We start from the raw sequence: 26,869 nt of genomic DNA on the forward strand, positions 1-26,869 counted from the left end.
TGACAGTTGTGGATACAATAATTATTACTACTATCATCTTAAAAATTAGGTTAAAGGTCACCAATACAGTCTTCTAATTTTTTTTAATGATTTTGGTATTTTTGTTTAGCTCTTCAATCCATTTGGAATGTACTTTCATCTATCATGTGGAGTAAATATCTAGCATAATTTTTCACCATGTAGCCAATTTTTAAGCATTATATATTAAATAATCTATATGTTACTTTGCTACTTTCCACTTTCCAACCAGAGTAACTTCTGTGTGCATAGGTATATGTACACCAACACATATAGTAGTCATTCCTTATCTACTGTTTCATTTTCCACAATTTCAGTTACCTGTGGTCAACTGTGGTCCAAAAATATTAAATGGGAAATTCCAGAAATAAACTATTCATAAGATTTAAACTGCTTGCTGGTCTGAGTAACATGATAAAATATTGTGCCATCCCACTCAGGACCTGAATCATTCATTTGTCCAGCAGTATCCATACTGTATACACCACCTGCAGGTTAGTCACTTAGTCATCTCAGTTGTCAGGGTATCACAGTGCTTGTATTCAAATAAACCTTATTTTACTCACTAATGCTGCCAACATGCAAGAGTACTGATGTTGCCATATTGTCCTATTTTATTATTAGTTATTGTTGTTAGTCTCTTACTGTGGATAATTTATTTAAGTTAAACTTTATCCTAAGTATCTATGTTTAAGAAAAAACATAGTACATATAGGGTTTGGATAATCTATGGTTTCAGGCATCTACTGGGAGTCTTGGAAGGGGAATACTCTGTGTGTGTGTGTGTGTGTGTGTGTGTGTGTGTGTGTATGTGTGTGTGTGTGTGTGTGTATACATATGACTGTTGGACTGTTTTCAGGGCTGGATATTGGATATTCTGCTCCATTTATTTGACTATTAATTCTTGTGCCAAGTTATAACCTTCCAATTATTTTATTTTTTAAAACAATTTAATTTTAAATTGATAAATAATAATTTTGCATATTCATAGGGTATACAGTGATGTTGCAATACATATAATATATAGTGATCAGATCAGAGTAGCTGGCATATCCATCATCTCAAACATTTATCATTTTTTGTGTGCTGGGGACATTTGCTATCCTCTTTATAGCTATTTGAAACAATATAATTTATTATTAACTGTAGTCATCCTACAGTGATAAAGAACACTATAATTTTATATTTTGGCTTTTACTGAGGAAACTCTTCACATATTTCTCTTCTTCTTGAAACTATGCTTAGCTATTCTTATGAATTTTTATTCCAAATATCTTTAGAATCATTTTGTAAAGGCCTATAGGCCTTGATAGGACTATGGAAAGGCTAGAAATTTATTTAGAGAAGGTCTGATATATTATAATATTTAGTCTTCCTATGAGGAAGTATACCTGCCACGTATTAAAACAATTTACAACCGTTAGAAAGCTTTTCTTTAATAAAGTCCTACATATGTCTTGATAGATGTATTCCTATATTATTTGTATTTTTGTTACTATTGTGAAGGAAATATTATCCTGCCTGTCATTTATTATAACTAGTTATTATTGGGAAAGAAGGAAATGATCAACTTTTAAACTTTTATCTTGATAGTAGACACTTCACTAAACTTTTAAATAAATTTCAACAGTTTTGTAGTTGACTATTTTGAGTTCTGAGCATGTAATACTAAGTTAAACAGTAATGATGGCTGCAAGCTCCTTCTTTTATAAGCGATATTAATAGGACTGGCTCCAGTATTCTACTAGTAGGCATGATGCAGCTGCTGCATTTAAATTGATATTCTTAGCTTTCTAAGCACTTTAATTAGGTGTCAAATGCTATAGAACATCTTTTGTCTTCTTATCATCATATGATTTTTTTGGTGGATATATTTTCAGTAGCAACATAACGAATAGGAGGCAGGGCTTAATATCCTAGCTTTCATTCTCATTAGCTACATTTTCCCCCATTCTTTGATATAAACAATTGAGATATTCCGAATCTTTGGTAAAAAATTTAGATCTCTATCTCACTTTTGTTTTTTCATAATGTCAAGCTCTATATTTCCTATGTAGTTTCTTTCTGTAGCCACTTTTGAACCAAGTAATATATTTATAATCTATATTTTAATATTTCTTTTAATTCATAAAAAAATCCGTTTTCAAAGTTGGAATAAGAACTTAAAAGGTACATTCGAAACAAACTATCCTCTTTTAAGTCATGATAAAATGGATGTAAACAAATACTATCCTGGAAAAATGGGACATAAAATCACTTAATCTAGAAAGATCCATAAGTGCCATTGAGCCTTGTTTTTTCTTATGACTCATTAAATTTATACTGATTTTAGGGGAAAAACCCATTGGAACTAGAAAATTAGTCTTGAATGCTTACTTAAGGAGTATATTATTGAATACGTCTTGAGAGGCTGGCTTGGAATAGAGTTGATTAATAAGGCCCAGTAGCTCATAGCAAAGAATTTATTCTTTATGCTGAGAATAAAGGTTAGCATAATTAGATTAAAATTTTTTTTTAATGTTTATGGGTATACAGTTGGTGTATATACTTATAGGATATATGAGATATTTTGACACAGGCATATAATACATGATAATTACCTCAGGATAAATGTGATATCCATCACATCACAAACTTATTTCTTTATGCTGGAAGCATATAAATTATATTCTTTTAGATTTTTTAACATGTAAAAAATTATTATTAACTGTAATCACCCTGTTACAGTATCAAATATTAAATGTTATTCCTTCTATTTAATTACATTTTTGTACCCATTAACTATCTCACTTTTCCCTATCCCCCACTCACTACCCTTCTCAGACTCTGGTAACCATCATTCTACTCTCTATCTCCATGAAATCAATTGCTATAATTTTTAGCTCACACAAATAAATGAGAACATGTAAAATTTATCTTTATGTGCCTGGCTTATTTCACTCAACATGATGTCCTCCAATTCCATTCGTGTTGTTGCAAATGATTAAATCTCATTCTTTTTTATGGCTAAATAGTACTCCACTGGGTATATATACATTTTCTTTATCCGTTTGTCTGTCGATGGACACTTAACGTTGCTTCCAAATTTTGGCTATTGTGAATAGTGCTACAATAAACAAGGGAGTACAGATATCTTTTCAATATACTGATTTCCTTTCTTAGAGGTGTGCAGCTGGCAGTGGACTGGATCATAAGATAGTTCAATTTTTAGTTTTTTTAAGGAAACTCCATACTGTACTCTATTATGACTGTACTAATTTACATCCCCAGCAACAGTGTACACGGTTGCCTTTTCTCCACATCATGACCAGCATTTGGTATTACCTATCTTGTGGCTAAAAGCTATTTTAACAGGTGTGAGATGATATCTCATTGTAGTTTAGACTTGCATGTGTCTGATGATCAAGGATGTTGAGAACCTTTTAATATACCTGTTTGCCATTTGTATGTCTTTTTTTTTCAGAAATGCCCATTCAGATCTTTTGTCCATTTTTAATCAGATTATTAGATTTTTTTCCTATAGAGTTTTTGAGCTCCTTTTATATCATTATTAGATGACTTGCAAATATTTTCTCCCATTTTGTGGGTTGTCTCTCCACTTTGCTCACTGCTTGTTTTGCTGTGCAGAGACTTTCTAACTTGATGTGATCCCATTTGTCCATTTTTGCTTTGGTTGCCTGTGGTCTTGGGGTATTACTGAAGAAATATTTGCCCAGACATGTTTCCTGGAGAGCTTCCTCAATATTTTATTTTAGAAGTTTCATAGTTTCAGGTCTCAGACTTAAGTATTTAATCCATTTTAATTTGATTTTTGTCTATGGTGAGAGAGAGATAGGGATATAGTTTCAATCTTCTGCTTATGGATATCCATTTTCCTCAGCATCATTTAGTGAAGAGACTGTCCTTTCCCCAGTGTATGTTCTTTGCACCTTTGTCAAAAATGAGTTTGCTGTAGATGTATGGATGTATTTCTGGGTTCTCTATTCTGTTTCATTGGTCTATGTGTCTGCTTTTATGACAGCATCATGCTGTTTTGTTATTTGGGTTATAATAGCTCTGCAGTATAATTTGAAGTCTGGTAATGTGATTCCTCCAGTTTTGCTCTTTTTGATTAGGATGGCTTTGGCTATTCTGGGTCTTTTCTGGGTCCATATCAATTTTAAGAGATTTTTTTTCTATTTCTATTTCTATAAAGAATGTCATTGGTATTTTGATGAGAATTGCACTGAATCTGTAGATTTCTTTGGGTAGTATGGATATTTAATGATATTAATTCTTCCAATCCATGGATATAAAATATCTATCAACTTTTTGTGTCCTCTTCAATTTCTTGCATCAATGTTTAACAGTTTTCATTATAAAGGTCTTTCACTTCTTTTGTTAAGTTTATTTCTAGGTATTTTATTTGTTGCTGTTGTAAATGGGACTACTTTCTTGATTTCTTTTTTCAGATTGTGATTGTTGGCATATAGAAATCCTACTGATTTTTGTATGTTGATTTTGTGTTCTGCAAATTTACTGAATTTGTTTAACAATTTTAGTAAGTTTTGGAGGAGTCTTTAGGTTTTCCCAAACATAAGATCATACCTTTTCCACACAGGGACAATTTGACTTCTTCCTTTCCAATTTTTATGCTTGCTTTCTTTCTTTTCTTTCTTTCTTTCTTTCTTTCTTTCTTTCTTTCTTTCTTTCTTTCTTTCTTCTTTCTTTTTTCTTTCTTTCTTTCTTTTGTCTGATTGCTCTTGTTAGGACTTCCAGTACTATGTTGAATAACAATAGTGAAAGTGGGCATCCTTGTCTTCTTCCAGATTTTAGATGAAAGGCTTTCAGTTTTCCCCCAGTATGATACTAGCTGTGTTGTATATGGTTATTGTATTTAGGTATGCTTCTTCTATACTCCGTTTTTTGAGTATTTTCTCATGAAGGAATGTTAAATTTTATCAAACCCAGAAATACACCCAATAATTTTCAGCAGCAATCAAAATAATTATATAGTTTTTGTCCTTCCTTCTGTTAATATGATGTGTCATGTTGGTTTGCATATGTTAAATCATCCTTGCATCCCTAGGATAGATCTCACTTGATCATGATGGATGATCTTTTTAATGGATTGTTGAATTCAGTTTGCCAGTATTTTGTTGAGGATTTTTGCATCAATGTTTAGCAGGGATATTGGTCTGTAGTTTTCTTTTCTGAATGTGTCTCTGTCTAGTTTTGGTATCAGGGTAATTCCAGCCTTATAAATTGTGTTTGGAAGTATTCTCTGATCCTCTATTTTTGGAAATGTTTGAGTATTATTAGTTCTTCTTTAAATGCTTGATAAAATTCATCAGTGAAGCCATTGGGTCCTGGGCTTTCCTTTGCTGGAAGAATTTTTTTTTATTACTTCTTTAATCTTATTACTTGTTATTGCTCTATTCATGTTTTGGATTTCTTCATAGTTCGATCTTGGTAAGTTGGATGTGTCTAGGGGTTTATTTATTTCTTCTAGGTTTTCCAATTTATTGACATATCATTGCTCTTAGTAGTGTCTACTGACTCTTTGAATTTTGATGGTATCAATTGTAATGTCTCCCTTTTGATTTATCGTTTTGTTTATTTGGATCTTCTCTTATTTTTAGCCCATTAGTCTGATGAAATAATTGTGGGTTTTGTTTCTCTCCAAGAAGGCAAATTTTTGTTTTGTTGACTTTTTGTATTTTTTTGTTTCAGTTCCACTTATTTCTGTTCTCATCTTTATTATTTCTTTTCTTCTACTAATTTTGGGTCTGCTTTGCTCTCGTTTTTCTGATTCTTTCAGATACATCATTAGGTTGTTTATTTTACATTTTCCTACTTTTTTGATGTAGGTGCTGATTGCTATACACGTTCCTCTTAGCATGGCTTTTGCCATATCTCATAAGTTTTGGTATGTTATATTTCCATTTTTGTTTTCATTTATTTCAAGAAATGTTTAAATTGATTTGAAAAGTGTTATTGGCTTCTAGTTTTATTCCAATGTGGTCAGAAAGGATACTTAATATGATTTCAATTTTCTTGAAATTTTTAAGCCTTTTATTGTGGCTCAACGTTTGGTCTATCCCTGAGAATGATTCCTGTGCTGAGGAGAGTAATGTGTATTCTGCAGCTGTTGGATGAAACATTTTGTAAATGTCTGTTAGGCACCTTTGGTCTATAGTGCAAATTGAGTCCAATGATTTTTTATAGGTTACCTGAGGCAAGATCATAAAGGCTCTTGAATGCTTTCTGTGGGTCTTATTCTAAAGGCATTAGGTATCATGAAAGTTTTTAAGAGGAGTGTGATATAATTGGGTTTTCACTTTGGAAAGATTACCCTTACTTAGTGGAGAAAATAAATCAGGGATAGAGATGACTTCAAGACCAGAGACGGAATAAACCTTTCAGAGTCTATAGCAATCATTTCTGCTAGAAATGTCGGTAGCCTGAACTAAGGTAGTAGATGTAAAACTAGACAGAAGTGGATTGAATGGAGAGTTATTAGGGAAATTACATCAATAACAATTATTGACATGAGAAGGGAGAGTTGGGAATTACACAAGAGAAGAATAGGCTTAGAAGCAAGATGTTATACCAACTGTGAACAGATTGAGTTTGAGTTAACTCTAGGGCATCCATGTGGTGATGTTCAAGATAAAGTTATGTATATGAGTCTGGAACTCAGGAAAGGAGTCTGGATTAAAGAGATAAATTCATGAGTCTAGCATTTAGTTGGTAACTGATGCCTGGATATAAATATGGATGAGCTTGCCCAGGGAGTTAGTGATTATCACAAAACTCTGTGGAACACCAAAAGGTAAAGCATGGTCAAGAAACAAACATGTATTTTCAAAGAATATTGAAAATAGTTATAAGTAGGAGGAAAACCAGAAGAGTGTGATTTCAGGGAATCCAAATAAAGAACAGAGGAGAGGTTGAGAGTCACATGGTGCACACTGGTAAAATAAGGTAAATACTGGAAATTAAAACAAGGAGGTAATTGGTGACTTTGGAATGTATTCATTCCTCTAAGTGCTAAATGACACTGAGAGTGTCAGTCAGTAGCATCAAGATTCCAGTAGAATAAGAAATGTTCAAGAAGTAAGAAAATGACATGGTTCCTGTTTGCAAAAGGGCAATTATCCTGTGTAGGTGGATGCTATGAATTAGCATAAGACAAAACTCACAAGATCTAGAGGAAGAGCACATTGGTCAGGCAAGGGTGCCAATAGCATTCACCTTGGTTATGAAAGGCAAAAGAGGAATACATCAGTAGTTTAAGAGAGATCTGGGCTAATTTTTGTTTGTTTGCTATTGTTGTCACTTTTGTTGATAATAGTGGTGTGGGGGTGTGTGTGTGTGTAAAGAGTAATTCTTCAGTAATTATTCTAGACCCTAGATGTATATTATAATCACTTGAGGAGCTTTTTAAACAATCTCAGATATTCTATTTAAACTGTCCTGGATATGGCTGAACATGTGGTGATTTGGGTGTATAACCAAATGTTAACAATTACTGCTCTGAGCATATGTAAACACTGATGGGAAACAGCCAGAATACGGGGGGCAGGGAAGTGTTGCAGATAATTGAGAGAGGTAATTAATTGATAGCTATCCCTGGGAGTGAACTGAAATCCACATTACAAGTGGGGAGATTGTACATACACAAGAAGAGGTAAGGCAAGGAACAATGGAGAGCAGAAAGGACAGATGACTATTCTGGTAACTGAAAGTTTGGTATCGAAAGATACACTGAATTCCTTTCTTATGTGATCCGTTTTCTCTATGAAGTAGGAAGGGTAAGTTATGAGGTAGAGATTTTGAAAAGAATCCTTAAAAAATAAAAAACAAAACCCCCAAACAAACAGATGAATAAATTTAAGGGTGATAAGTGACAACTTATGTTTGCTTTGAGACCATCCACTTTCTTCTACAAAAACACTTGTTCAAAGATGACTGACAGGAGAATGGCTGTGAAAAAAGTGACCATAAATAACATAAGACCTCCAACTTCAAAGCATTAACCCATATAAGAACCTTTCTGAACAAATTTTCTGAACTAGAAAGCCACAGCCATTTTTTCTCTGAATTTTATTAGAATTGATAGTTGTCTATAACTCCCATAGATATGTAAGAAACAAAACATTTTTCACATTGCACTATAATAATTTGGGAACAAATTTATAATGAATTATCTCTTCAGCAGTTAAAGAAAGAAAAGTGAATTAAGTTAAGGCACAAAAGTGAATTACACAGAATGGAGCTTCTGAAATGGTAAAATAAGGCGGTTGGCTGACCCTCTAATCAGCAAAACAATTTAACTGGTGAAAATTACAAAATATGATTATTTAAAGTCTCTGAAAGTCATTCGAAGGACATATAGCAAATGGAAAAATATTCATTCAAGAAAACTTATTAACCCTTGGTAAGAATAGCAAGATTTTATGGAACTTGAGCCATGACCCACTCCTTTATAACCTTCCCCCAGCTCTTTGTTAGCTCTACTTCAATGAGGTACTCCAGCTGTGGCCAAGAAGATGGGGGCTCTTCTCTCCCAGATCCTAGTCTTGGATTATGGTTTCACCCTAGGAGGAGGAGTCTTCCAAATGTTTTTCACCCCTGCAGCTCTGTGTTGCAGAAACCCTATATCAAGTCAGCATGATGAAAAAGATCCCACCTCCCTCCAACGCAGCCCCTATTTATAGGGTGAAAGCTCTACCCCAGGCATGACAGGCCAAAAATACTGGGGTCCCAATTATCCCAATTTACTCATGGGGTAGGGGTTCCATGCCAGGACAGTCAATCCAGGAAGACTAGGGACACCACCCCCAATACCTTCTTGTAGAGAAGGGCTCTCACTTTGGGAATAGTGGGTCTTTCCCCCAGCTCTGGTACATAGGAGTTCTGCCCAGAGGAAAGGCAGGTGTAAGTACAGATGAAGAAGTTTCGTAACTCTGCCTGAGAAGAATGATTTTATTAGGAACAGAGCTCAGAGAACTTAATACCTAAAAGTGTTGTCAAAAGCAATAAAGAGGTTGGTGAAGAGCAGTTAAGAGGAGGTTGAGGAGGTTAGCAGCACCATGATAAGAGCAAAATGGCTCAGCAGCCAGAAGTTTAATAGAATCAGAGAAAGATACAGCCCCCTACTATCACTACTATATTAGTCTGCCATTACAAAATACACAGACTGGGCAGCTTAAACAACGAAAACTATTTTCTCACAGTTTAGGAAGCTAAAAGTCCAAGATCAAGGTGTTGGTGGGATTAGTTCCTTATTAGGGTTGAGTTTCAGATAGATAACTTTTTGCTGTGTCTTCAAAGGATCATCCCTTTGTCTGTGTTGTCTGCTTACTAATTTCCTGTTCTTATAAAGGCACCAGTCATATTGTATTAAGGCCAACCCTAATGATCTCATTTAAACTTAATTACCTCTTTAAAGGTCATATCTACAAATATAGTCACATTCTGAGGTACTTGGGATTAGGACCTCAAATATTAATTTGTCGGGGACATAATTGCCCATGACAGCTGCTAACCTTGGGGATTTGAGAGGCTATGTACTATGTCCCGGGCTTCACCCACTGGGGAGAAATTACAGCATGATGTGGGGCAGCCAAGATAGCATTTCCAAAGCCACATGTAGATCCGTCCACAAAGGGGAAAAACTTCACTGACAAAAGGGGTTAAACACAACCTCTGACAAAACACTGAATAACAATAAGATACTCAAATGCAGGGACAACTCCTAAGAAGCCAGGCCTAAAATTAAAATTTCTTGCATCCCTGAGAGTCTGGAAGACTGTTTGCATGTCCGAGACTGTTTCCTCTCTGGAGCAATCAGAGAGGGGACATCCAAACTAATAGTCCCTGGATGACATTGGGCAAACAAAGTAAACTCAACTGCAATAGCAGCCTCAAAGGAACACACATATCCAATGTTAAAAGGGTAAAAATACAATTAGGTAATGGGGCCTAAACACAACCTTTAACCTAGAAATAACTCTTAGATACCCAAGATAAAGGATAAAACAAGGGGGAAAATATCTGAGTAGGGACAACAGAGACTCCACATGACAGAGAAAATAGACTTTGCAGAAGGAGTTCAAGAGTTCAGCGCAGTCACTAAGCAAATAAACAAATGACCAAACCATCAACAACAGTATCCTTCCCCTTTACTGAAGAGAGACATTGTATTCAGAGTTGCTAAATTTTATCTAAATACCCAGTCTTAAACAAAAAATTAAAACACATATGGAAATAGAAAAATGTGATCCATATACAATTCAACAATAATAGTTGAAGACTTCATTATCTTCTTTTACTTAAAAATAAAACTAGGCATAAATCAACAAGCAAACAGAAGACACGAACATTATAAACCAACTAGACCTAACAGACATCTATAGAATACTTCATCCAACAGCAGCAAAGTAGACATTCTTCTCACATTCTCCAGGATAGATCATATGCGAGGCTGTAAAAGAACCCTCAACAAATATAAAAGGATTAAAATTATACAAAATTTGTTCTCAGAGCATGGTAACAATTAAAATAGACAAAAATAACAGAATAAAATTCAGAAAATCTATAAATATGTGAGAATTAAACAAGACATTCTAAACAACTAAAGGGTCAAGAAAAAATCACAGTGGAAGTCCCTTCAGAAGAATAAAAACACAATCCATAAAAACCTATGGGATGCAGACAATCACTGCTTAGAAAGAAATTTGTATTTGGAAATGTCTATATCAAAAAAGAGGGCAAATCTCAAATCAATAAGCCAATCTTTTACCATAAGAAATTAGAAAAAGAAGAGCAAACCAAACCCAATGCAGATAAACAGAAAGAAGATAATAAAAATTAGAGCAGAGATAAGTAAAAATATAAAATAGAAAAACAATAGAAAAAAATAACAAAATTAAAAGTGTTTTGGGAAAACTTCAAAACTGATAAGCTTTTTGCATAACAGACCAAGAAAATTAGAAAAAAATACTTATGATGTAAAATGTGTTATAGGAAAATACTGTTAACAATTATATGCCAGCAAATTTGATAACCCAGATGAAATTGAGACATTACTAGAAAGACACAAACACTAAACTGACTCAAAAAGAATAGAAATCTGATAAAATAAGAAATACAAAACGTGATATTTAGTTAGTAATTTTAAACAAATTTTCTCTTCCCAACACACACACACAAAACCCAGGACCAGAGAGATTTAATAGTGAATTCTATCAGACATTTACAGAAGAGTTAATATCAATTACTCACAAACTATTAAAAAACAAGAAGAGAGAACACTGTTTGACTCATTCCACAAGGCCATTAGTACCCTCAGGCCAAAGTTCAACAAAGAATATTATGGACTGATATTCTTATAAACATAGAAGCAAAAATCTGCAACAAAACATAAGCAAATTGAATCTAGCAACATATAAAAATGATTTACACAATGACAAAGGAGATTTATCCCCAGAATTCAAAGTTGGTTTAAAATCTGAAAATTAATTAGTGTGATCCATCATATTAATAAAAGAAAAATGTTTCATGATGATCTCAATAGATTTGGAAAAGTACAGTCAGTCCTCATTAACATAATTGATAAGTTCTTGGAAGCTGTAAGTTTAAGTGAAATGACATATAACAAAATCAATTTTACCATAGGCCAATTGATGTACACAAGATTTAAGTTCTTACATCATATTTTTGGTAAAAAAAATCATCACCAAACTTCTAAATAAAGACCCAAAACACTTCTAATGTTAAACATTGAAATAGGAGGGGGGTCAAGATGGCCGATAAGAAGCAGCTGCAGTCCACGGTACTCATGAAGAGGAAAGAAATGGGCAAGAGAATACAGTACCTTCAACTGAAATATCGAGGTTCTCGCATTGGGACTGATTAGCCAAACAACTTGACCCATGACCTATGAAGAAGGAAGAAAAGCAGGGTGGGTCTGTGGCACACCCAGGAGCAACACAGAGCCAAGGCAACTGGCACCCCCAGCCAAGGGAAATGGTGAGTGATTGTGCAACCCCACCTGGGAAACCACACTCCTTCCACGAATCTTTGCAACCCATGGATCAGGAGATCCCCTCATGATCCTGTGCCACCAGGGCCTTGGGTCTTAACACACAGAGCTGTGTGGAGTCTCGGCAGAGCAGCTGACCAGGCACACACAGAGACACAGGAGCTTTACACACTCCATCCCCAGGATCCCCAACAATGGTGTCTGCAACTCAGGCAAGGAAGGAGGTCCGTGCATACCCCTAGGAAGGGGGCTGAATTCAGGGAGCCAAGCAACATCATTCTGTGGTTCCCACTTCCGTAGCACCTCACAAGATAAGACTCACTCACTGGCTTGAAATTCTAGCCAGCCAATGGCAACAGGGTGGAATTTGCCTAAGGCTGGTAGGAGCTCCCAAGGGGAGGTGTGGCCATCATCTCTGTGGTTTGGTCCATTCAGCCATTCCAGCGTGCAGGCTTTGAAGAGTCCAAATGGCCCAGATGAGGAAGGGTCTCCCCCAACACAGCACAGTTGCTTTTCCATATCGTGGCCAGACTGCTTCTTTAAGTGAGACACTGATTCACTCCTCATCACTGGACAAGACCTCCCAGCCAGGGCTTCAGCCATTCCAGCCAGTTTTCCATGAACAGAGCTCTAATTTCCCCCTGGGAAAAAGTGCCTGGGGGTGGGGCAGGCCACCACTTTGGCTGTTCAGGTTTCCCAGTCAGTTCAGCCTGTGGGCCCATAGAAATACAAACCACCACCAGAGAATATTATAAACTACCTCTATGCACATAAACTAGAAAATCTAGAAGAAATACACAAATTCCTGGACACATACAGCATCCCAAGACTGAACTAGGAGAAGCTGAAGTCTTGAATAGACCAATAATGAGTTCTAAAATTGAGGCAGTAATAAATAGAATACCAACCAAAAAAAAAAAAAAAAAAAAAAAAAAAAAGCCCAGGACCAGATGGATTCACAAGCTGATTTCTGCCAGAGTTACAAAGAAGAGCTGGTATCATTTCTACTGAAATTATTTCAAAAAATTGAAAATTGAATGATGCTGGCCTCATTCTATACCAAAACCTGGCAGAGATACAACAAAAAAACAAAACTTCAGGCCAATATCCTTGATAAGCATCAATGCAAAAATCTTCAGTAAAATATTGGCAAACTGAATCCAGCAGCACATCAAACTGCTTATGCATCACCATCAAGTAGGTATCATCCCCAGGATGCAAGGTTGTTTCAAAATACACAAATCAATAAATATGATTCATCACATAATCAGAACTAAAGACAAAAACACATGATTATCTCAATAGATGCAGAAAAGGCCTTTGATAAAATTCAACATCCCTTCATGTTAAAAACTCTTAATAAACTAGGTATTAAAGGAACATACCTCAAATAATAAGAGTCATATATGACAAACCCACAGCCAATATTATACTGAATGGGAAAAAGCTAGAAGCTTCCCCCTTGAAAACCAGCACAAGAGAAGGATACCCTGTCTCACCACTCCTATTCAACACAGTATTGGAAGTTCTGGCCAGGGCAATCAGGCAAGAGAAACAAATAAATAGTTTTCAGATAAGAAGAGAGGAAGTCAAACTCTTTGTTTCAGTGACATAATATTATATCTAGAATATTCCATCATCCCAACCCAAAAGCTACTTAAGCTGATAAGCAACTTCAGTAAAGTCTCAGGATAAAAAATCAAAGTGGGAAAATGATCTGAAGATGGAGGAATAGGAACAGCTCTGGTCTACAGCTCCCAGCGTGAGCGACGCAGAAGACGGGTGATTTCCGCATTTCCATCTGAGGTACCGGGTTCATCTCACTAGGGAGTGCCAGACAGTGGGCGCAGGTCAGTGGGTGCACGCACAGTGCATGAGCTGAAAGAGGGCGAGGCATTGCCTCACTCGGGAAGTGCAAGGAGTCAGGGAGTTCCCTCTCCTAGTCAAAGAAAGTGGTGACAAATGGCACCTGGAAAATTGGGTCACTCCCTCCCCAATACTGCGCTTTTCCCACAGGCTTAAAAAAACGGCGCACCAGGAGATTATATCCTGCACCTGGCTCAGAGGGTCCTACGCCCACGGAGTCTCGCTGATTGCTAGCACAGCAGTCTGAGATCAAACTGCAAGGCGGCAGCGAGGCTGGGGGAGGGGCGCCCGCCATTGCCCAGGCTTGCTTAGGTAAACAAAGCAGCCTGGAAGCTCAAACTGGGTGGAGCCCACCACAGCTCAAAGAGGCCTGCCTGCCTCTGTAGGCTCCACCTCTGGGGGCAGGGCACAGACAAACAAAAAGACAGCAGCAACCTCTGCAGTCTTAAATGTCCCTGTCTGACAGATTTGAAGAGAGCAGTGGTTCTCCCAGCAGGCAGCTGGAGATCTGAGAACAGGCAGACTGCCTCCTCAAGTGGGTCCCTGACCCCTGACCCCCGAGCAGCCTAACTGGGAGGCAACCCCCAGCAGGGGCAGATTGACATCTCACACGGCCGGGTACTCCAACAGACCTGCAGCTGAGGGTCCTGTCTGTTAGAAGGAAAACTAACAGACAGAAAGGACATCCACAACAAAAACCAATCTGTACATCACCATCATCAAAGACCAAAAGTAGATAAAACCACAAAGATGGGGAAAAAACAGCAGAAAAACTGGAAACTCTAAAAAGCAGAGCGCCTCTCCTCCTCCAAAGGAACACAGTTCCTCACCAGCAATGGAACAAAGCTGGATGGAGAATGACTTTGACAAGCTGAGAGAAGAAGGCTTCAGACAATCAAATTACCCCGAGCTATGGGAGGACATTCAAACCAAAGGCAAAGAAGTTGAAAACTTTGAAAAAAGTTTAGAAGAATGTATAACTAGAATAACCAATACAGAGAAGTGCTTAAAGGAGCCGATGGAGCTGAAAACCAAGGCTCAAGAACTACGTGAAGAATGCAGAAGCCTCAGGAGCTGATGCAATCAACTGGAAGAAAGGGTATCAGCAATGGAAGATGAAATGAATGAAATGAAGCAAGAAGGGAAGTTTAGAGAAAAAAGAATAAAAAGAAACGAACAAAGCCTCCAAGAAATATGGGAGTATGTGAAAAGACCAAATCTACGACGGATTGGTGTACCTGAAAGTGAAGGGGAGAATGGAACCAAGTTGGAAAACACTCTGCAGGATATTATCCAGGAGAACTTCCCCAATCTAGCAAGGCAGGCCAACATTCAGATTCAGGAAATACAGAGAACGCCACAAAGATACTCCTTGAGAAGAGCAACACCAAGACACATAATTGTCAGATTCACCAAAGTTGAAATGAAGGAAAAAATGTTAAGGGCAGCCAGAGAGAAAGGTCAGGTTACCCTCAAAGGGAAGCCCATCAGACTAACAGCGGATCTCTCGGCAGAAACTCTATAAGCCAGAAGAGAGTGGGGGCCAATATTCAACATTCTTAAAGAAAAGAATTTTCAACCCAGAATTTCATATCCAGCCAAACTAAGCTTCATAAGTGAAGGAGAAATAAAACACTTTACAGACAAGCAAATGTTGAGAGATTTTGTCACCACCAGGCCTGCCCTAAAAGAGCTCCTGAAGGAAGCACTAAACATGGAAAGGAACAACCAGTAACAGCCGCTGCAAAATCATGCCAAAATGTAAAGACCATCAAGACTAGGAAGAAACTGCATCAACTAACGAGCAAAATAACCATCTAACATCATAATGACAGGATCAAATTCACACATAACAATATTAACTTTAAATGTAAATGGACAAAATGCTCCAATTAAAAGACACAGACTGGCAAATTGGATAAAGACTCAAGACCCATCAGTGTGCTGTATTCAGGAAACCCAACTCACGTGCACAGACACACATAGGCTCAAAATAAAAGGATGGAGGAAGATATACCAAGCAAATGGAAAACAAAAAAAGGCAGGGGTTGCAATCCTAGTCTCTGATAAAAGAGACTTTAAACCAACAAAGATCAAAAGAGACAAAGAAGGCCATTACATAATGGTAAAGGGATCAATTCAACAAGAAGAGCTAACTATCCTAAATATATATGCACCCAATACAGGAGCACGCACATTCATAAAGCAAGTCCTGAGTGACCTACAAAGAGACTTAGACTCCCACACATTAATAATGGGAGACTTTAACACCCCACTGTCAACATTAGACAGATCAACGAGACAGAAAGTCAACAAGGATACCCAGGAATTGAACTCAGCTCTGCACCAATTGGACCTAATAGACATCTACAGAATTTTCCACCCCAAATCAATAGAATATACATTCTTTTCAGCACCACACCACACCTATTCCAAAATTGACCACATACTTGGAAGTAAAGCTCTCCTCAGCAAATGTAAAAGAACAGAAATTATAACAAACTATCTCTCAGACCACAGTGCAATCAAACTAGAACTCAGGATTAAGAATGTCACTCAAAACCGCTCAACTACATGGAAACTGAACAACCTGCTCCTGAATGACTACTGGGTACATAACGAAATGAAGGCAGAAATAAAGATGTTCTTTGAAACCAACGAGAACAAAGACACAACCTACCAGAAACTCTGGGACACATTCAAAGCAGTGTGTAGAGGGAAATTTATAGCACTAAATGCCCACAAGAGAAAGCAGAAAAGATCTAAAATTGACACCCTAACATCACAATAAAAAGAACTAGAAAAACAAGAGCAAACACATTCAAAAGCTAGCAGAAGGCAAGAAATAACTAAAATCAGAGCAGAACTGAAGGAAATAGAGACACAAAAAACCCTTCAAAAAATTAACGAATCCAGGAGCTGGTTTTTTGAAAGGATCAACAAAATTGATAGACTGCTAGCAAGACTAATAAAGAAGAAAAGAGATAAGAATCAAATAGATGTAATAAAAAATGATAAAGGGGATATCACCACCAATCCCACAGAAATACAAACTACCATCAGAGAATACTACAAACAGCTCTACACAAATAAACTAGAAAATCTAGAAGAAATGGATAAATTCCTCAACACATACACTCTCCCAGGACTAAACCAGGAAGAAGTTGAATCTCTGAATAGACCAATAACAGGAGCAGAAATTGTGGCAATAATCAATAGCTTACCAAAGAAAAAGAGTCCAGGACCAGATGGATTCACAGCCGAATTCTACCAGAGGTACAAGGAGGAACTGGTACCATTCCTTCTGAAACTATTCCAATCAATAGAAAAAGAAGGAATCCTCCCTAACTCATTTTATGAGGCCAGCATCATCCTGATACCAAAGCCTGGCAGAGACACAACCAAAAAAGAGAATTTTAGACCAATATCCTTGATGAACATTGACGCAAAAATCCTCAATAAAATACTGGCAAGCCGAATCCAGCAGCACATCAAAAAGCTTATCCACCATGATCAAGTGGGCTTCATCCCTGGGATGCAAGGCTGGTTCAATATACACAAATCAATAAATGTAATCCAGCATATAAACAGAACCAAGGACCACATGATTATCTCAATAGATGCAGAAAAGGCCTTTGACAAAATTCAACAGCCCTTCATGCTAAAAACTCTCAATAAATTAGGTATTGATGGGACGTATCTCAAAATAATAAGAGCTATCTATGACAAACCCACAGCCAATATCATACTGAATGGGCAAAAACTGGAAGCATTCCCTTTGAAAACTGGCACAAGACAGGGATGCCCTCTCTCACCACTCCTATTCAAAATAGTGTTGGAAGTTCTGGCCAGGGCAATTAGGCAGGACAAGGAAATCAAGGGTATTCAATTAGGAAAAGAGGAAGTCAAATTGTCCCTGTTTGCAGACGACATGATTGTATATCTAGAAAACCCCATCGTCTCAGCCCAAAATCTCCTTAAGCTGATAAGCAACTTCAGCAAAGTCTCAGGATACAAAATCAATGTACAAAAATCACAAGCATTCTTATACACCAACAACAGACAAACAGAGAACCAAATCATGAGTGAACTCCCATTCACAATTGCTTCAAAGAGAATAAAATACCCAGGAATCCAACTTACAAGGGATGTGAAGGACCTCTTCAAGGAGAACTATAAAACACTGCTCAACGAAATAAAAGAGGATACAAACAAATGGAAGAACATTCCATGCTCATGGGTAGGAAGAATCAATATTGTGAAAATGGCCATACTGCCCAAGGTAATTTACAGATTCAATGTCATCCCCATCAAGCTACCAATGACTTTCCTCACAGAATTGGAAAAAACTACTTTAAAGTTCATATGGAACCAAAAAAGAGTCCACATCGCCAAGTCAATCCTGAGCCAAAAGAACAAAGCTGGAGGCATCACACTACCTGACTTCAAACTATACTACAAGGCTACAGTAACCAAAACAGCATGGTACTGGTACCAAAACAGATATATAGATCAACAGAACAGAACAGAGCCCTCAGAAATAATGCCGCATGTCTACAACTATCTGATCTTTGACAAACCTGAGAAAAACAAGCAATGGGGAAAGGATTCCCTATTTAATAAATGGTGCTGGGAAAACTGGCTAGCCATATGTAGAAAGCTGAAACTGGATCCCTTCCTTACACCTTATACAAAAATCAATTCAAGATGGATTAAAGACTTAAACGTTAGACCTAAAACCATAAAAACCCTAGAAGAAAACCTAGGCAACACCATTCAGGACATAGGCATGGGCAAGGACTTCATGTCCAAAACACCAAAAGCAATGGCAACAAAAGCCAAAATTGACAAATGGGATCTAATTAAACTCAAGAGCTTCTGCAAAGCAAAAGAAACTACCATCAGAGTGAACAGGCAACCTACAAAATGGGCGAAAATTTTTGCAACCTACTCATCTGACAAAGGGCTAATATCCAGAATCTACAATGAACTCCAACAAATTTACAAGAAAAAAATAAACAACCCCATCAAAAAGTGGGCAAAGGACATGAACAGACACTTCCCAAAAGAAGACATTTATGCAGCCAAAAAACACATGAAAAAATGCTCACCATCACTGGCCATCAGAGAAATGCAAATCAAAACCACAATGAGATACCATTTCACACCAGTTAGAATGGCAAGCATTAAAAAGTCAGGAAACAGCAGGTGCTGGAGAGGATTTGGAGAAATAGGAACACTTTTACACTGTTGGTGGGACTGTAAACTAGTTCAACCATTGTGGAAGTCAGTGTGGCGATTCCTCAGGGATCTAGAACTAGAAATACCATTTGACCAAGCCATCCCATTACTGGGTATATACCCAAAGGACTATAAATCATGGTGCTATAAAGACACATGCACACGTATGTTTATTGTGGCATTATTCACAATAGCAAAGACTTGGAACCAACCCAAATGTCCAACAATGATAGACTGGATTAAGAAAATGTGGCACATATACACCATGGAATACTATGCAGCCATTAAAAATAATGAGTTCATGTCCTTTGTAGGGACATGGATGAAATTGGAAATCATCATTCTCAGTCAACTATCACAAGAACAAAAAAACCAAACACTGCATATTCTCACTCATAGGTGGGAATTGAACAATGGGAACACATGGACACAGGAAGGGGAATATCACACTCTGGGGACTGTTGTGGGGTGGGGGAAAGGGGGAGGGATAGCATTGGGAGATATGCCTAATGCTAGATGACGAGTTAGTGGGTGCAGCGCACCAGCATGTCACATGTATACATTTGTAACTAACCTGCACATTGTGCACATGTACCCTATAACTTAAAGTATAATAATAATAATAAATAAAAATCAACGTGCAAAAATTGCTAACATTCCCATACTCCAATAACAGGGAAGCAGAGGGCCAAAGCATGAATGAACTCCCATTTACAATTGCCACAAAGATAATAAAATACCTAGAAATACAGCTAACAAGGGAAGTGAAGGACCTCTTCAAGGGGAACTAGAGACCACTGCTCAAAGAAATCAGAGATAACACAAACAAATGGAAAAACATTCCATATAGTTTGTGTTCATGGATTAGAAGTCTTGATATTGAATTCTTAGCTATGACATGAGAAGCACAAGCAAAAAAAGAAAAGTTAGTAAATTGGACTGCATCAAAATTAAAAATCTTTGTGCATCAAAGGACACTCTCAAGAAAATAAAAAAAATAGAATGGGAGAGAATATTACGCATCATATATTTGATAAAGGCCTTGTATCCAGAATATATAGAGAACTCTTAAAATTCAACAACAAAAAGAAAAACAGCTCAGTTAGACAAATGATCAAAGAACTTGAATAGACACTCATTCTAAGACGATACACAAATGGCTAATAAGTACATGAAAAGATAATATGCTTAGTCATTAGGAAAATGCAAAACAAAAATTCATTGTGGTAATACTTCATAACTACTGGAATGCCTATAATTTGAAAGATACATAATAATATGTGTTGGTAAGAATGTGGAGAAACTGGAATTATCTTATAATGCAGTGAGAATGTAAAATGGCACAGCCACATTGGAAAACTGCCAGTTCCCCAAAATGTTAGGAATATAGAGATACCTTATTACCCAGTCATTATACACCTAGGTATATAACCAGGAGATTTGAAAACAAATATCCACACAAAAAAATTTACAAACTTTTACAGCTATTCTTAGTGGTATTATTCATGATAGCCAGAACATAAAAATAATGCAAGTTTCCATCAACTAATGAATGGGTAAACAAAATGTATTCGATCTTTACAGTGGAATACTATTTAGCAATAAAGAGAATTGAATTAATGCTTCATGCTGCAGCATAGATGGACCTTGAAAACATGCTAAATGAAAGCCAGTTACAAAACACCACATATTGTGTGATTTAATTTACATGAATTATCCAGAATAGGCAGAATTTGTGGAGATGGAAAGAGGATTAGTGGTTGCTAGGGACTGAGGGAAGGGGAAAATGGGGAGTGATTGCTAATGAGTATGAGTTTTCTTTCGTGGGGGAGATGGAATGTTCTAAATAACATCGTGTTGATGTTTGCACAACCTTGTGTATATATACAATACATTGAATTGTATATTTTAAATGAATAAATTTTATGTTATATGAATTATGTCTTGATAACACTATCAAATGCTAATTACAAAATAGCCTGCCAAATATTTTAGTATTAGAAGTCATCTCAAGACCTTAACTCCTTTTAAATCTTCCTTATGCATTTTAATTTTGTTGTGAATATAAGAATACCTTAGCTGTATTTTAAATATTATACTAAATGCTCTCAACTTAAGTAAATTTGTTTCTTATTTGAAAATCTTGCCATTTTCACTCTCTCAATGGGTAGAAATAATTCTGTGAGTTGACTATTTTAACGTCATAAACAGAATGCTAATTATTATTGAATTCATCCTTAAGCAAGCTATTCCAGTATGGTAAGACTATTGAAGCTTATCCACATCACAATTCTATTGCTTATGTAGGTTTAGTCAAATAATGGCAAAGACGCTCTAAACCTGTGTCCTAGTCACAGTAAGCCAGGTTATCTTCAGAGTAGGCTCAGCATTATGGTTTCCTTGTGTATTAGGTCAAATGGGCAACTCTTTTCTTACCATGTTCATTTTAAAAGCCCACCATTCTATACAAATTTACTTCCAGCATTTCCGTGACTGAAGGTTTAAAACAATCCAACCTTGAAAACAGCCATTAGTGTTAAGTGGTCTCTCAGTTCAACAAACAAGATGTACCAACCCATAAATGTCTAAAATCGGAGTGATGTTGACCAGTCATTTGTTCTGTTTCCTGGTAAGTTAACTACCAATGTTCTGTGTTTTAAAATCTAGGACAAATAATAATGATCTTAATTTTGAGTTCTACCCGGGATCATTTTGCACAAATAAAATTTAGCTTTCTTAGCTATTAGCACAAAACTCTTCTACCACATTCTATTCATCTTAATAAATAAAGTTGGTCAGAATCTAAGCAACTAAAAAAATTACATAAAAAGCAAAGGTTTATTTTGCTACCAAAACCAATGAAAGATATAGATGTTACAGTCTTTCTGTGGGAAATGGATAAAATACAAAAGCAAAACAAATAGAACCAGGAACTGGTAATGACCTTGCTAGAATGGAAAGTCATGTCAGTATTATCTAAATTGATATACAAGCACAGAAAAGGAATAAAAATTTATTCAGAAAATAAAGTGCTGATGCTGAGGGAAGTGATGTGAACAAACGATAAATTAAAAGGAATATTTGTTCCCGTTTTTACTCAGATGTAATTTGTGAATCCCATAAAAAGCATAGGGTGCTTGTTTGATGTTCTTGCCTTATGAATCTTAAATTTCTCTGCAACAAAGTGATCTTCTTTGAGGGTCTACACAAATCAAGTTGATAAAAGATTTGTGTGGCCAAACCTTGGCCACCCTATGAAGAACTTGTGATTTGTCTTTCCTCTCCCCCTTCCTTCTTATTCTTGTCTTCTGGTGAAACCTTTTCATTGCCCTAAAGATCTGTCCTAGAGACTCTCTAATGTGCTCTTATCACAGTCAGAAGTATTGCTTTACCTTCATCAAGATGCACATCGCTTTAGAGCCTAACAGTATCTGGAAGTTGGAAGTAATTTTTGGATACAATGCTTCAGAGTATACCTAAGAGAGCCTACATTTGAAAAGGATAAATTGTCAATAGGAAATGATGACTATCTAGTGATTTTCACATCAAAAATTGAAACAGGGTAAAGGGCTGATGATTACCTTGGAAGACAAAAGCCCACTTTTACCTCAAGTCAGCACACTAGAAGTGAATGTGGGCATCAACTCTCTTGAAGTTTAGCTTTTGCATCTCTCTCTGCCTAGACATTATTACATCAAATTAAAGGAAGTACTTTAGAGATCATCTAGTCTCATGTATTTTCATACTTTTCTCTATGGACAGAGGCATAGAATTTCAGAATTGTTTCTTAGGATTTCACTTTGGGTAGTGAGAAACAGAGAGGCCCAGTAAGTGAGGCGAGGGTTTTAAAGGTTTACCTGTGCTTCAGGAAATTTGATCAATTAAAAATGTATTTAATATACTCACAACTTGAATAAGATTTTATTTGAGCAATTTCTGATTTAAAACAAAAGTTAAAACCCAATGTTTCAGCCTCTCTGTTGTCTGCTGAGGGTCACACATGAATGTGGTAGCAGGGCTGGAATCCAAGTCCACTGGTTTTCAACCCAGTGCACATACATACCATCATGCCTCCATATTGGTATCTCTGCATTCCATCTTCATTTTTGCCCAGATTATTAACTGAAAACCAATTTTGATGGGTACCTTATCATATATGGATTCTACATTACCTCTTCAATAATGTGGGCAAAACAAAATGAGGCAATGTAGTGGCAATTGCATGTTATTTAGTTAACATCCTAATGTTGGACAAAATAAAACGAGGCAATGCAACAATAATTGCAAGTTATTTAGTTAACATCCCAATCACTCTTCCAAGCATCCCTCCTTACATTGCCATTGAAACAAAATTAATGTATTCTAAATCTCCTAACATAACCGTAAACATAATAAATAAAATCCTCTTTATCTTCTGATTTTAAGCCCATAAGCAACCTACATATATCCTATGATAGCAGATGTTTACTGAATATGGTTCTACACCCCAGCACTACCTGAATAAATCTGTGTATAACATCCAGGGTTTTCCTTTCTGCATAATGTTGCTCCCTGTTGGTGTTGCACCAAAATTATTTCCAAAATGAGCTGATTTGTGGAAAAGGGAGCTATGATGTTGGAGGCTATTGGGGTCTTGAAGTTCTGTCTTCTGGTTCTAAACTTGGCAGAACATTTCTACTTCTTGAGAACCACTCTATCGTTTTTAGCTGAAAATAAATATACCAGGAATGCTTTCTCCTCCAAAATTACACTCCATATTTTATAGAAAGAAGATTTAAAGAAAGAGTTTTTATTCTGTCTATGAAACAGGCCCCACCTTGAACATAGAAGACAAAATCTTATGCCTGATAGGAATAGTGATTAAATGACCATTCAGATAATGCCTTCTATGAATAATGCAGAGCACACCTGGTACTGTGTGGACACAAAGCAGAGTCTAGCAGTTGAGAGGTTTGGACCTAGCAACGATCAACATATGTTAACTTCCCATATTGAGTAGTTATTAGTTATTTCACTTTGGCAAGTTCAGCTTTTTATGTCCTAGTTTCCTTATGTGTGAAATACAAATAATACTAGTTCCAGCTTCAGAAGGATTTTTTTAAAAATCGTATGTAAATGATTTAAAATAGCAATTTAAATAATTTACTTTATAAATAATACATATAGCACTTTGGGAGGCCGAGGCGGGCAGTTGCCTGAGTTCAGGAGATCGAGACAAGCCTGGGCAACACGGTGAAACCCCGTCTCTACTAAAAAATACGAAAGAAATTAGCTGGGCGTGGTGGCCTGCACCTGTAGTCCCAGCTCCTGAGGAGGCTGAGGCAGGAGAATTGCTTGAACCTGGGAGGCGAAGGTTGCAGTTAGCCGAGATCATGTGACTGCACTCCAGCCTGGGCAACAGAGTGAGACTCCGTCTCTAAAAAATAATAAAAATAACACAAAAAGAATTATTATTGACTTTATTAGGTTGTAATAATGGCATTGTGGCTTTGTTTAAAAATAAATCTTTGTTAAATATCCATTCTAAAGCATTAGTTAAATAATATGATACTTAGGTTGTGCTTTAAAATACTTCAGCAAATCTCCCCAGGGAAATAGATGAAATGTGAAGAGTATAGTAGTGACGATCCTTGAAGTTGAGTGGTGGTACATGACTGTTAATTATGCTATCATATTGACCTTGTGTACGTTTGAAAGTTTCCGTAATAAAAAGTCACTGAAGGCCAGGCGCGGTGGCTCATGCCTGTAATCCCAGCACTTTGGGAGGCCGAGGTGGGGGGATCAAGGTTGGTCAGGAGTTTCAGACCAGGCTGGCCAACACGGTGAAACCCTGTCTCTACTAAAGATACAAACTATCAACCACTCAGATGGGACCTATTTCCATCCTTCCTCAGCGACAGATGGAACACAACTCCATCTTTTTTAAATGACTCAGATAGGACACATTTCCAACCTTCCTCAACGTCTAAGCTAGGACCCATGTCCATGTTTCCTCAGTGATTCAAATAGGACCCATTTCTATTGTTCCTCCATGACTGAGATAGTATTCATTTCCGCCCTTCCCCTAGGACCCGATAGGACTCATCTTCACCCTTACTCAATGACATAGAGAGAGCCCATCTCCACAGTTCCTCAGTGACTAAGATAGAACCTATCTCCATCCTTCTTCAATGAATCAGAAGTAACAGACTCAATCCTTCCTCAGTGATTCAATTGGGACCTATCTTCATCATTTCTCAGTGACTAAGATATTACCCATCTCTATTCTTTTGCAGTGTCACAGATAGAAGCCAACTCCACCCTTTCTTGAAGACTCAGATAGGACCCATTTTCACTCGTTCTCAGTGACTCAGATAGAACTTATCTTCACATTTCTTTCATGACTCAGATACGATCTATCTTCATTTTTTCCTTAGTGGCTCAGATATAACCCATCTTTATTATATTTCAAAGACTCATATGGCACAAATCTTCACCCTTCCTCAGTGACTCAGATGGAACCTATCTCCATTCTTCCTCAGTCACTCCAGTAGGACTCATCTCCATTCTTTCTCAATAAAACAGATAGGATCCATCTCTACCTTTCCTCTATGGCTCACATAAGACCTATTTCCATTTTTCCTCAGTAACTCAGATAAGACCCATATCTATTCTTCCTCAATGACTCAGGTAGGAATCATCTTCACCCTACCTGAATGACTGAGATGAGATCCATTTCCATCCTTCCTCAGTGACTCAGATAGAAACAATTTCACTCTTCCTCATTGACTCAGATGGGACCCTTCTGTCTTTCCTCAGTGACTCAGATTGGACCTATTTCCATCCTTCCTCAGTGACATATAAGACACTACTCCAGTCTTCTTCAGTGACCCAGATAGGACATGGTCCTATTTTTCCTTAGGGGCTTATATAGAACCAATATGGGCTCAAGAAATCCTCCCACCTCAGCCTCTCAAGTAGCTGGGACTACAGGTGTGTGCCACCACACCTGGCTATTTTTTAATTTTTATTTTTAGTAGAGATGAGGTCTCGCTATGTTACCCAGGCTGGTCTCAAACTCCTAGGCTCAAGAAATCCTCCTGCTTTGACCTCCCAAAGTGCTGGGATTACAGGCATAAGCCATCTCACCCAGCCTGAGACCCACCTTTGTCCTTCCTCAATATCTTGGAGAGGACCCATCTTCATTCTTCCTCAGTAGCTCCAACAATAGGACGAATCTCCAACCTTAATCACGACTCACAGAGGACCCGTTTTCATCCTTCTTTACTCAGATAGGACCAATAACTTTTCTTTCTCATGTATAAGATAGGACCCATGTAAACCCTTCCTCAGTGACTCAGATAGGACCCATCTCCATCCCTTTTTAATGACTGATATATAACCTATCTCCATTCTTTCTCAGTTGACTGAGGTCAGACTCATCTCCATCCTTCTTCATGACCCTCATTAACTAACTGATGACTTCCTTGTTTATCTGCCTTCATAAAATCCCTGCCACCCATCACCACCACCTTTTTAGATATTTCTCATTATGGAACATTCTTACTATTGCAACAGCCTAAACAAATTTATTTATTTAATTGTCCTGTGCATTTTGTCTCTTTCAGGGGCCATCATCTCTTTGATACACCTTTATTATTCTGGAGGATTCCAGGATATTTACACCTCCATTCTGATTATTATCAAATGTATGAAAGGATGCAAAACAAATTC

The 26,869-nt window shown here is 37.1% G+C and overlaps 2 annotated features.

The window, feature by feature from the left end:
* Positions 14,098-14,623: an enhancer, noted in NCBI's record as "H3K27ac-H3K4me1 hESC enhancer chr5:42078724-42079249 (GRCh37/hg19 assembly coordinates)". NCBI's record gives its function as "activates a minimal SCP1, AML or CMV promoter by ChIP-STARR-seq in naive and primed H9 embryonic stem cells {active_cell/tissue: H9 hESC(naive and primed)}" and the evidence as "EXISTENCE:reporter gene assay evidence [ECO:0000049][PMID:30033119]".
* Positions 25,449-26,648: an enhancer, noted in NCBI's record as "P300/CBP strongly-dependent group 1 enhancer chr5:42090075-42091274 (GRCh37/hg19 assembly coordinates)". NCBI's record gives its function as "activates an origin of replication core promoter dependent on BRD2, BRD4, P300/CBP, MED14 and CDK7 cofactors, with strong dependence on P300/CBP, by STARR-seq in HCT116 cells {active_cell/tissue: HCT116}" and the evidence as "EXISTENCE:reporter gene assay evidence [ECO:0000049][PMID:35650434]".

This window comes from Homo sapiens, chromosome 5 (assembly GCF_000001405.40).
Source record: "Homo sapiens chromosome 5, GRCh38.p14 Primary Assembly".
Classification (NCBI taxonomy): domain Eukaryota; kingdom Metazoa; phylum Chordata; class Mammalia; order Primates; family Hominidae; genus Homo; species Homo sapiens.